Below are 13,931 nucleotides of genomic sequence, written 5' to 3' on the forward strand. Positions count from 1 at the left end.
CTGGAAAAGGACATGAATAGATCCTTCTGAATAAAAAGACATACAAGCAGCCAACAAACATATGAAAAAATGCTTATCATCACTAATCATCAGAGAAATTCATACCAAAACCACAATGAGATACCATCTCATGCCAATCATAGTGGCTACTCTGAAAAAGTCCAAAAACAACAGATGCTGGTGAGCCTGTAGAAAAAAGGGAGTGCTTGTACAGAGTTGTTGGGAATGTAAATTAGTTCAGCCCCTGTGGGCAGAACTTTGGAGACTTCTCAAATCACTTAGAACAAAGCTACTATTTGATCCAGCAATCCTATTTCTCTCTCTCTCTCTCACTGTATATATATATAATATTTTATGTATATATAATAGATTATGCCAAATAGATTATGCCAAAAAGACCAAAAAGACACATACACTTGTATGTTCTTCTCAGCACTATTCGGCAAAGACAGAATCAACCTAGGTGCCCATAAATGGTAGACTAGATAAAGAAAATATGGTACATACTATCAGATACTATGCAACCAAAAAAAAGAATGAAATCATGTCTTTTGCAGCAACATGAATGAAGCTTCAGGCAATAATCCTAAGCAAATTAATGCAAGAACAGAAATCCAAATACTACATGTTCTCACTTACCAGTGGGAGCTAAACATTAAGCACACATGGACATGTACATGGGAACAATAGACACTGCGGACTACGAGAGGTGTGAGGAAGGGTGGAGGGGATGGGTTGGGAAACTACCTGTTGGGTACTATACTTACTACCTTGGTGCAATAAACCCACGTAACAAACCTGCACATGTACCCTCCGTATCTAAAATAAAAGTTGAAATTAAAAAAAGAATGAAAGGGAACGAATAAAGCTGATGTTTATAGGCCCTCCCAAAATTTCTGGCTTATAACATGCTTTCAAAGATTTTATAAAATCATTTTTAAATTCAATAATTTTTAAAATTTGGAATGTTTATAGATTTACAGAAATGTCGAATATCACAGAATATAATTATACCTCATGCTATTTTCCTTATTGTTATATTACTATGGTACATTTGTCAAACAAATAAACTAATATTGATGCATTATTACTAACTACATTGCAACTTTAATTCAGATTTCATTAGTTCTTCCTTAATGAAATGGCTTACTCAAGTTGTCTATTTTTTCATGGCAGCTATTTAATTTATTGCCGTTATGTTCTTTATGTTCCCAAAAAGCTCTTTGTAATTACTCTGTAAATAAATACTTGAAAATACCTGGTGAGCTTCCATTACTTAGAGGAAATGGTGAAATCTATAACATAAATAAAGTGCAGTTCTAGTTTTTATCTCTTTAAGTGAACATTGACTCCCCCCCACTCTGTTCACATCTGTGCATGGTTTCTTATTTATTTATTTGACATGTAAAACTTTTATATATTTGTCATGTACAACATGATGTTTTGAAATAAATATGTCTACATAGTAAAATGGCTCAGTTGAGTCCATTAGCATATACATCCTAACCCTACCAGTCTCTCCCTCTTATTTCATCAAACCTATACTTTCTTGTTTGCATGTTCTATCCTACCTCAGATTCTGGTACACATATGAGATTCTGTAGGCGTGTAGGGTCTGCATGGTGATAAGAAAATCTAGGATAATAACTAAGATTTCTCATACTACAACACCACTCTACACCTTAGGCCTTGTTCTAGTAGAAAAACTTGTTCTAAGATCAATTATCAATACTAATTCCAATTTCTGTCCAGTCCTGTTCCACTGTTTGAACCTCTGAACCATGTGCAGCTTCCTCATATTTCTATGTCTCTGAACATGCTGCTACTTCTGCTGGAATTATTGACCAACTTTTCACTTTCAATACTCTAATTAAAAGTCTTATTTTCAGCCAGCTTTCAGCATGGTTTTACAAGGAGTTATTTAGTAGAGACTACACTTGCACTTTCTCTGCCTAATCATATTCTCCAGCTGCTTACCCAATCACTTGTCCAGCATTTCCCTCAGGGTTTTGATGATGCATAAAGATTGCTGAGAGTTTCTTCCCCTTGGCAGCCAGGAACGTAGAAATCTTTTGCATACCAAGGTTAGAAGCTATGGCATGGTTGTAATCTCATAAAATACTATCTTTCTGAGGGAGAGAGAGAGAGAGAGAGAAAGAAGAGAGAGAAAGAGAAAACAAACTCAAGACCGCTTTTTAGGCTGTACAAGAGGAAATGTGGCATGTATATAAAAGAAGTATCATTATATAAATCTCAGTCTTTTAGTGTGCGTATCTTGGTATCAATCACATTTTTATTTCAAAGGCTTTTCTGATCCAAGATCTCGGATTGTTCAAATCCATGCAGTGGGACCACACTCAAGAAAAAGTCCAGGGTAAGCTTTCCATCTAGAATGATACCTTAACCACCAGTGAAAGAGGCAAGGTCAATTTTCATTGATTCAAATTATATTCAAAGGTAAATTATTTACTTCTGTAAATTCTTCACCTGCTTTACAACATCTGTTCTAGTAATTAATTTAAGAAATAGTATATTACAATTTAACGTGTGTATCAATATAATTTCAATTGGAATTTACTCCTAGGTTTACTAGGTTTACCACCATCAGTAAACTTATATAATTTAATTCCCTCTCTGTACCTTATTTGTTTCCCAATGGTTAGATGAGTGTGAAAAGATCAAACAATCTTTAAAATCCTTTACACATAGATAAGTATAGGACTTAACATAAATTATGCTTCAGTCTAAGATGATTTAGGGAGCTCATTTAAAACTGCTGCTCTAAAATAAATGGTTTTATGTCAGGTATTGGGTCACACTCCTCTTTTTGTATTCACAGTGCAGTACCAGACACAGATAATATGTTTAGTAAATATTAAGTGAAAGGATACATTAATATTGGTGCTTATGAAATATAAATCAAATAGATGATACTTTAAGCAATCTATACATTGTGCTATGCTAACTCATTTGCAGATTTTTTTCAATATTTTTTCCTTATCTTTCAGCTCCACAAGACTAGTAATTGTTTCCTCAGTTGGGGCCAATTAGAGGAACAGGATAGGATTAATAAGTAATAAAGTAATGTCAGGTAACAAGAGACATAAAAACATGCACATGTGTGACAATGTCTCTATGAGGGATATTGAAGTCAAGAACACTATTGCACGAAAAGTTTTCCGTGAGATAGAACTTGCTGTGAGGAAAGAGATCCAGAATAGTATATGGCTGCCCTTTGTAAATCCCTCATGAGAGGAACTAAGACAATCTCTTTCCCAGAAGATTCCAAGAGTTGCATTCTTTGAAATTGTTCTATTGGAAATAATTTATGTAGGCTCATGGAGTTAAACAAAGGAGGAAACATTTTTCTTTAACTACACAAATCCTATATCAACTAATATATATTCTTTAGCATTGTCTTAGAGAGATCGAGTTTAACCTAAGAACCTGGGTAGACCAGTAGAAACAATCCACCCCATAGAGGCTCTGGTTCATAGAGTTCAGATGTCTAATACTGGTGTTCCTGAAATTCTACCCCCAAAATGATCAAGAGTTAGTTTGGCAGATTGTTTATTGCTTTTTTGTCCATTATCTAATTTGAGTCTTACCATGGGTAGCATTATCTCACAGGGGAGGTTAATAGATGTTAGAAAAAATATTTTAATGTTACACAGCCTGAAGAGGCAGAGCTGTGAGTTGTTCTATCTTTAAATCCTGTGCTGTTTCTCCCAGCAAAGATAGCAAAAAGATCTTGGGTCCTAGACTTTGATTAATTTGATGAACTCCTCAGGAGGAGTCTAGATAAAGTTGAGTTGTCACCACTCAGGGTGAATAGAGCAGCTACCCAAACATCTTTGGGCATCCATGCTTGAACTCTTTAATACGTCTATGCAAGGACATAGAATGTACTCTGTTGCTGCTCCAGTCAAAGGAGTATATTTGAGAGGGTAGGTGTGAGCAGTAGATACAGTCTAAGATTTGGACAAGCATGAGCATACATATAGGTGAGAATCAGGAGATTAACATAGTAAGGAGGTTAGTGTTCTAAGATGACTCCTATCCAGGCTTCTGTCTCTCCTTCCAATCAACATTTTCTCTGATAGCTAAGATGGATAATGATAATTATATATTCACTTAAAGTATGTTATGCACATAAGTGCTTTATATGTAATATATATTTAATATGTATAACACTCTATATAAATGTACTATTCTTATCCACGTTTTACACTTGGGAAAACTGAGGCAAAGGGAAGTGAAGTAACTTGCCTAAAGTCATAAAGTTAGCAAATGGTGAAGCCGAAATTTGAACGTAGACAAGTTGGGGTTCCAGGCATCTTCTTTTTCACAACTTCTCTCCCCCACCTTCCATCGCAGCTACTCTCCTCCTGTGACTGGATCTTTCTTTATGGCACCCCAATTAATTCAATTGCTAACTTTTAAGCTTAACACACGAGCCTCTGTAATCTAGACTTGCCTTCTTTTCAGCCTCATCTCCTGACACTTTCCTATGTGGGTTCTGTGCTGAATCATATTCAACTTGCTGGCACTCCCCAAAGAGGATGGTGTAATGATTTTTACCTTCACATATTCTATTTGCTAGGCCTGGAAAGTTCTTCCTGCCCTGTCTATTCTTTTGTGCCCACACCCTGCAATCCTCATCATCATCAGGTTAACTCTAACTCATCTATCAGAATTCCACTCAGTGACAACGTTTGAAAAGGCAGTCCTGTCTCTCCTGGTCTTCCTTCCTGAGCCCTTTCACAGAGAACTGTCACAGTTTACATGTGGACCTCCTCCACTTGATTGACAATACTTGCCAAATCAAATAATGACTGAATTGATGATCAGTATCACATCACTTGTTATTACATCCCCACTGTAAATTTAATTTGAGAAAAGTTGGCACAGACTCTATGCTGTGATGATCTTGCCAGTTGCAGCTATAGTCTTTGTCTCTAAATAGTGTCTATAATTTAAAAAAAACTTTTCATGATTAGAAGAAAAGGAGTCTTTTGATTATTGTAGAAGGTTTAAGGCTTTCAAATGAGAAAGATATTTGGTGGCTCTGATGCCATCAGACCCAGGATATGCATAGTAGTTAGGAAAATAGATCCTGAAGACCCATTATGTAGGTTCAAACACCAACTCTGCCAATCACTAGATCTATAACCTTGGGCAAGTTACTTACTCTTTCTGTGCTGCAGTTTCCTCATTTCTGAAGTGGTAATAGTAGTGATAGACTACTTTATAAGATCATTATGGGAGTTAAATGAGCTATATGTAAAACATCTAGAATCAAACTTGGTGTATAGTAAGTACAATATAAGTGTTTTCTGTTTACCTAAACATTTTTTCAGCCCTTATGATTTTGTCAACTGGGGATGACTGAGCACAATTTGGCTTTGCTGGTATAGGGCACAGACTACTAAAAGATTTTAGGAATGTGAAACATATTCTCCAATTGAAGGACTTTGCACGATAAGAAAGCAATTGTTTAAATTCAGTTCTTTTTGTGGTGGCAGGTGCCTGTAATCCCAGCTACTTGGGAGGCTGAGGCAGGAGAATCACTTGAACCCAGGGGGCGAAGATTGCAGTGGGCCGAGATCGCACCGTTGCACTCCAGCCTGGGCGACAGAGTGAGACTTCCTCTCCAAAAAATAATATTAATAAAAAAATAAAATAAATAATAAATTCAGTTCTTTTTATGGGAAATTATTTATCTATCATCTATCTAGCTATCTATCTATCTATCTAATCTTTCTATCTACTTATGATTTATTTAAGGATATGTAAGTTATATGTGTTCTGGAAAAAGAATACCACAATTATACCAGTCCTTTCACTGAAAATTATATTGGGCAATTTGCCTCTTTAATCTTTAGTGCTCTGCTCAGTAAAATGGAGATAATAAAAATTATGATATTGTTGTGAGGATGGAATTAAGTAACATATGCAGAGTTTAGCACACGATTCTGCACATGGTAAAATACTCAGTAAATGTTAACTACTATTAATGATATTTCTTTAATGGAGATTGGCACATATTATAGCTATTATCTCAGAAATAAAATTGTATATATTTTTAATATTTTCTAGTAGTTACATTATATAGCTTTTATATAATAATTAAATGCACCAAATTTCAAATTGTGCTTACTAGAGAGATTCCACTTGATAGATTCAAATTGAAAGGAAACACCTCATAAATTCAAAACATGTTCTATAGATCTCATTTGAATTCTGAAACAGCTTTGTGCGGTAAAAAATTTTATCATTCATCTTCTATAGATGAGAAAACTGAGATCCAGGGAAGATAAACAGATTTACCCAAAGTTATAAAGCTGATGAGGGCACTCAAACTTACACCACTCAGCTTCTGGTCAGTGCTCTTTCTGCTATCCATGCAGAAAAGAGGTATTCTGAGTAACGACGGAAAATAGCTAGTAATTTTCATATTTCAGAAAAGCCATTTTTATTTCAAGAAACTTCAGATCTTGTCTAATATTAATCTCCTTTAAGAATTTTTTCCTGATTATTTTTATCCATTATTTTTCTCTGTATGATGCAAGCATTCCTATTACAGTTTATAAAATGGCTTCAGACACTTATTTTTAAACTATCATTTATAACATTATCTGTATGATAAATTTCATTCCTAATTTTTCCTGTGATCACAAGGACAGAGAGTTATCTGGGTCTTTTTCAAGGCAAAGGGATTGAGGATGACAGGGAACTCAATAACTTTTAAATGTTTCAACTCTTCAGAGCAACATAGAAAAAAGTATTTCTCCGTATAAGTTGATCACTTCTCATGTATTCCTTATTGGCAAGCAAAATGGAATTTTCAACCAGCAGGTCCAGGCTTATGATTCAAACTTCCTCAATGTTGATTTATAAGCACTAAAAATGACTTGATTTTTAATTGAATTGAGACTTTTAATCTAATTGAGAAATTGGAAACTGAGTATTCCTCTCTTGATTAAATAAAATGTTACTTTTCTATAAGTGAGTAGTATATATTATATTTGAAGGATTCTGAAATTTTATACATCAGATCTTATACTCTGACTTCATGCTTTTATTTACAGCCTCAAAAAATTAAGTAATTAAATAAACAAAGTTTTCACTCCAAAGTAAATTTCTGACAAAAGAAGTTGGAGGTGGGGGGAGAGAGAGCACTGATTAAGGAAAAACATTAAATTCAATAAAAAAGACGCAGATTCTCTAGATTCTTGTATGGAAAAAAGGAACTATAAGACTAATCATGAAATAAATTCAAATGTGAGTCAATAATGTGGAAATCAAGCTAATGACAAGAAAAATATTCATGAACTATTTTCAAGAAATATGAAGAACTTTCTCTACCATATTTAACATCATGTAGGTATTTTCACAAGACTCTTACTGATAGACTTTATCGTGCTTATAATGGTTTATAACATGTGTTTATTTTTGCGGAGGACCAGAGTCACTGCACCAGTCCTGCCTGGGGACCCACGAAAGTGGCCAACAATGTCACTGAGTTTATATTCCTGGGACTTTCCCAAGATTCTGGAATGCGATGGATATTCTTTGTCTTATTTCTCCTCTTCTACATCGTGATCATGGTGGGAAATTTGCTCATTTTTCTTATGGTCTTTTCTGACCCCCAACTACACACACCCATGTATTTCTTCCTCAGTAACCTGTCTTTTGTGGACATTGCCTATTCCTCGGCCACAGCACCCAAGATGATTGCAGACTTTGTTTCTGAGAAAAAGACTATTTCCTACTGGGGCTGTATAACTCAGATGTTTACCTTCCACTTTTTTGGTTGTGCTGAGATTTTTGTTTTGACTGTCATGGCTTTTGATCGCTATGCTGCTATCTGCCAACCCCTCCGTTACACTGTCATCATGAGTGCTAATGCTTGTACTGTGCTGGCATCACTGTCCTGGTTGGGGGCCCTGGGTCATTCCTTTGTTCAGACCCTCCTGACCTTCCAGCTGCCCTTCTGTAATGCTCAGGTTATAGACCATTACTTTTGTGATGTCCACCCAGTCCTAAAACTTGCCTGTGCTGATACAACTCTGATAAATATGTTGGTAGTTGCCAACAGTGGTCTCATCTCCCTGGGTTGTTTCCTCATTCTTTTGGCCTCCTACAAAGTCATTCTGCTTAGTCTTCAAAAACAGTCTGCAGAGAGCCGACGCAAAGCTCTCTCTACCTGTGGATCTCATCTGACTGTAGTAACTTTCTTCTTTGTTCCGTGTATCTTTATTTATCTCCGTCCATCCACTACTTTCCCATTGGATAAAGCTGTGTCTGTGTTCTATACCACCATCACCCCAATGTTGAACCCACTCATCTATACTCTGAGGAATGAGGATGTAAAGAATGCCATGAGGCAGCTATGGAGTAGCAAGATCTCCTTGAAGGAAAAACAGAGAGGATAGTTTGTCAGAATTGCAAAATCAGAGAATTAGTGGATACCTTCAATGATCCCTAATTTATTAATAATTAAAAAAATAGTTCCTAAAAATGCAGCTTTTATAGGTTGTCTAAACAGGAAATAATTTGAGGCTATTTTAGACAGGCTAAACTTAAAACTTTCCATACTTGGCAAGGTTTATCCTCTCTTACTTCTAGAGTAAACGAGTTAACACTCCTACTCAATATCTCATTTAACCTCGTTAGATCCCTTCTATTCACGTCAAACTCTCTTAAGCTACCATTCAATGATTTAGAGTGGGGTTATAAGAGAAAGATATCCCTGATCATATCTTCTCACCATATCATGTCTCTTCAAAAAAGAAGTCTAATTTACCAGAAGCTGCACCTTGTTCCCTCCTTCTTTCCTTCCTTCTTTTGTTTTCTTTTTCTTCCTTCTCTAGTCTTTTCCTATAAATATTGCAAAATCTAGTCAGGGAAACAGATTTGCAAGGAGACAATTATAATACAATACAACAAATGCAGACATAGAAATATACACTTCCTACAATGAAGGGGGTTAGTATAAATCAACAAATTGCCCAAAGGATGGTTTCTGTGCAGGAAAAAAAAAATAGAACTTTACATATTTTGAAGTGGACAGCAATTTCTTTAAAGACTCTCTTGGAGAATTTGAATACTCTTCTACCCATTACTGTAATACTATCTTTACTGAAAGAAATCTTACTTTTTTTGGCAATAAAAACACAGACTAGATTAATGCAACTAAAATGAGTTGATATTTGTACCATTGAAATGACTAAGGAGATGTAATTCTATTATAAATTTTTAGTTGAACTTGTCCTCAGTTCCTTAAAACAACAAAATGGAATAAGCACATTTTCTTTTTGTGGTATTCTTAGTAAAGTTGAGAAATAGATAAGTATTCTCAGTATTCTGGAAAAGGCATTTTTCTTCTGAGAAATTTTCTTAGATCTTGTCTCATGGCTCATATTGTTCAAGAATTCTGCCCTGATTATTTTTATTCAACATTTATTTTCTATATGCCTTAAGCAATCCTGTATGCAATTTATAAAATATCACTTACCTTTTTCTCTTTTTTAGTGGATTTTTATCTGAGATCTACAACTTAAGAAGAATATAAGTGATGTATATTCTCTTCTACTCTTCATGTATGGAATAGAGGGGCTTGCACAGTAGGTACTTGTCAAAATCTGTTGATTGTAACTCCAATTTCTATTTTTTTCCTTAGTAATGGGGACCTGACATTATTTATGGTGGCCCAACTAAAATATTGCATTGACTTGCCTCAGGCTCTTTTAAACTTCAATTCAATAATTTAGAATGACCTTATAAGAAAAAGATATTCCTTTTGAAGCCCAGTGGACAATCTGATGTTAATAGTAGTTGGTTGGTGGGACTTTTGAAAAGTCTTTAAAATGGTTTGTCCACTCCAGCCCTCTCATACATGATCACCATTAACATTTTGATGATTAAAATTTCCTTATAGTTATTGCATGTCCTTACAGTTATTTTCATATTACTTGCCCTTTGCAAAAGGGTCATTCTATCCTTTTCTTAACTCCTGATTTTTTAAGATAAACAACAAACACACAAATTATATTAAAAAATGATAGACTATATTAGGTTTCCTTTTCCCTCCTAAGAGCAAAGTATTAACAATAACAATAACAACACTTGCAGTAAGAAAAAAATGGCTTAGACCCACAGGAACAAAGAAACAAGACAGGAGTTAGATGCAGAGGAGAGATTTCAACAAAAGTTTGGAAAAGGTAAGACAAAAAAGTAGTAACTGATTTGGCGGGGTCTGGAAGTCTAAGTCTAAATTACCAACAAGAGGAATAGTGCGGAAAAGGGAAGAGATTCGCTTCCTGGAATCCCTGCAATGATTGGGATGCAGGATGCCAGGTCAGGGGGAGGTGAGTTTCAGGGCTGCTAATGAAGATTAAGAGAAAGGAACAGTTCAATCTTCTATCCTCTCTTTCTGCTCCCAGATGCTAACGGTAGCATATGAGTCACAGACAGAATATTGGCACCTTTGTTTAAGAAACTGAATGTTAATGTCACATCTGCCTTCGGAGATTACAAATGAAATGGTTACCTCTCTACTGGAACCCTGACCAGAAGCCTGCCAATTAGTAAGCTGGCTTAAGAGATCAATCTAAAATTTACATAAGGCTTTTGAAAAAAAGAGAAAAGTCAGCCTTTAAAAAAGCCAAAAGGAAACTGGTGGAATTAGAGGTAATTCAGGGGGAAAAAAACTGTAAAAAACTTTATCTTCTCATTGATGAAAGAAAATATTTGTAATCTTTAAATAAGAATATGACGCATTGAAAAAATATAGAAAAATTATTTTTGGAAGGTAAATAAAATCAAAAAGAACAATAAACAAAATTAAAACAAATTAGTATGGCATTAAAAGAAATAAAACAAGTAGTCACAGAAGTCATAAAAGTACAGTCTCTGTGAAAGTAGAATGAAAATGTCAAAGAAATAGAAAACATGAAAGATAAAAACAAGAAACACAAGGAATCAAGTTAGGGGCAAACCATTCAACTCACACATATTCCAGGAGGACAAATTAAAGAGAAGGATGGATTTAAAAGAAACAATGAAAATACATTTCTTAGAATAGAAAAGCTTAATTTTCCGGATATGAAAGATTTACTGAATGCCCAGCACAAGATTTAAAAAAAAATCCCAAGGCACGTTATTATGAAATTTTATCACCTTAATGATTGAAAATATTGTAAAATTATTAAGAAAAAACCACATAGCTCACAAATGAACAGAAATTCAAATGGCATGAGTATGCTCTGTAGCAAACTCATCCTTGGAATACAGTGGAAAAGTTTCTCACACTGATTTTCAGCCTAGAATTCTATACAGAACAAACCTATCAGGAAGATAGAATAAAGCATGTTTAATCATGCAAAAATTTGTAAAGTTTGCTTTGTAAGTACTCTTTTTTTTTTTGAAAGTGTGGGATAATGTATCCCAGCAAAACAAGAGGAAGAAATGAGATCAATAAATTAATATATGCAATGCAGGGTGGCTAAAACCACTTTAAAAAAAAATCCCAATCTCTTTTTTCTTTCTTCATGTGAATCAGGTAATGTGTATATGTCATAAGGTTTGAGGGAGGTACATCTCACACAGGAGTGCAAAAACTCAGTCATCACACTTATGAACCACAAAGGGATCAAAAGCCACTTTTAAGATGACAGATGTATAGTAGGCATAGGAGACAACAGAAATGGATGAAAGCAGAAGATGGAAGCCCTCCAGGTTCATAAAACAGAAAGGAAAGGGTGAAAATTTATATTGTCTAATATATTGAAGCATCTTAGTTGTAAAGGTACAGCCAATAGGATGAAACAAGTTGATGCACTCAAGGAAGGATACATTTATAGAAAATGATATCATTTAGAGTTCCAACAGGAAGTTAATGACACACTTATTATAAGATAATTTGATAAAGATTTATTTAAAGAGATGCTGTCTATGAGTTTATAGGTATAGAGTACCACAGAGGCCAGTGCTATAATCAGGGGTAAGATGCAGTGGAGCTGTTTACACCATTGTGCCTGAAGGGACTGAGAGAGGGAGGAAATACAGAAACCCCAAAAAGATATTTATGATAGCCATTTGAAAGGAGGAATGACCTTCAGTGGGAGGTCAACCAGCATGTGGCCACATGGTCTAGCTTATTCTCCTTCATTCCCCTTTTTCAGTTTTATTGAAGTATAATTGACAAATAAGAATCATACATATTTAAGTGTGCAACTTGATGTTTTGAAATATGTATACACTGTGAAATGGTCATCACATTTAAGATAATTAACATATCCATTACCTCACAGGGTTATGTTTTTGTGTGTATGGTGTGAACCCTTAAGATCTACTCCCTTAGTACATTTCAGTTGTCCAATATAGTATTGCATTGTAATACAGACACCATGTTGTGCATTAACTCTCCAGAACTCATTCATTTTTGCATAACTGAAACTTTGTAACCTTTAGTCCATATCTCCTCATTTCTCCCTTTCCTTTCCATTCCTGGCAGCCACCATTCTACCTTCAGTTTGAGTATTTTAGATTCCACATATAAGTGAGATCATGCAGTATTTGTCCTTCTGTATCGTGCTTTTTAAAGGCTGAATAATACTCCATTGCATATATATAGTACAATTTTTTTCAGGCTTTATTGAGGTATGATTTACAAATAAAATTTGCATATATTTAGGGTATATGCATACTTATGAAATGATTACCACAACCAAGCTAATTAACATATTCATCATGTTACATCATTACCATTTGTGTATAATGTGTGTATGTGTATGTTAACACTTGAGATCTACTTTCTTAGCAAATTTGAAGCTACTGTACATTTGGTCTCCAGTACTTACTCATCTTGTAGCTGAAGGTTTGTACCCTTTGACCAACATCTTCTTTTTCCTGGCATTTGCCAGCCTCTGCTAACCACCACTCTACTGTCCATTGCTATGAGTTTGATTTTTTTAAATATTCCACCTGTATGGGATATCGTGTAGTATTTGTTGTTATGTGTCTGGCTTATTGCACTTAGCATAATGTCCTCCAGGTTTATCCATGTTGTGGCAAATGGCAGTATTTCCTTCTTTTTAAGGATGAATAATCCATTGTGTGTGTTTGTACCACATTTTAAAAATCTATGCATCTGTAGATGAACACTTAAGTTGTTTCTGTATCTTGGCTAGTATTACAATGCTGCAGTGAATTTGAGAGTGCAGATATCTCTTTAAGATAGTGGTTTTATTTCTTTTGCATACATACCTAGAAGTGGGATTGCTGTATTATATGAGAGGTTTATTTATTTTTTTTTTGAGGAGCCTACATACTGCCTTCAATAATGGTTGCACTAATTTATATCTCTACCAAAAGTTTACAAGGGTTTTGTATTAGTCCGTTCTCACCCTGCTAATAAAGACATATCTGAGACTGGGTAATTTATAAAGGAAAGAGATTTAATTGACCCACATTTCAGCATGGCTGGGAAGGCCTCAGGAAACTTACAGTCACAGTCATGGTGGAAGAGGAAGCAAACATGTCTTTCTTCACATGGTGGCAAGAGAGAGAAGACTGAGAACTGAGTAAAGGATAAAGCCCCATGTAAAGTCATCAGATCTTGTGAGAACTTACTATCACAAGAATAGCATGAGAAAACTGCCCCCATGATTCAATTATCTTTCACTGCATCTCTCCCATGACATGTGAGGACTACAGGAACTATAATTCAAGATGGGATTTGAGTGGAGACACAGCCAAACCATATCAGATTTCCTTTACACCCTTGCCAACACATGTTATCACTGGACTTTTTGATAAAAGGCAATCTAACAGGTGGTTGGTGATATCTCAGTGAGGTTTTGATTTGCCTTTATGATTTCTGATTTTGAGCATTTTTTCCATATACCTTTTGGCCATTTGTGTGT

General features: G+C 35.1%; 1 non-coding gene and 1 pseudogene across 1 annotated transcript; one reads left to right on the top strand and one right to left on the bottom strand.

The window, feature by feature from the left end:
* OR4H12P (olfactory receptor family 4 subfamily H member 12 pseudogene) lies at positions 7,560-8,438 on the top strand (annotated as a pseudogene).
* LOC124903431 (small nucleolar RNA U13) lies at positions 11,557-11,657 on the bottom strand. The gene has a single exon (XR_007064412.1). It is a non-coding gene; the product is annotated as a small nucleolar RNA U13 (small nucleolar RNA).
* Between the last annotated feature and the right edge of the window lie 2,274 nt (positions 11,658-13,931).

Source organism: Homo sapiens, chromosome 14 (genome assembly GCF_000001405.40).
Source record: "Homo sapiens chromosome 14, GRCh38.p14 Primary Assembly".
Taxonomy (NCBI): Eukaryota; Metazoa; Chordata; class Mammalia; order Primates; family Hominidae; genus Homo; species Homo sapiens.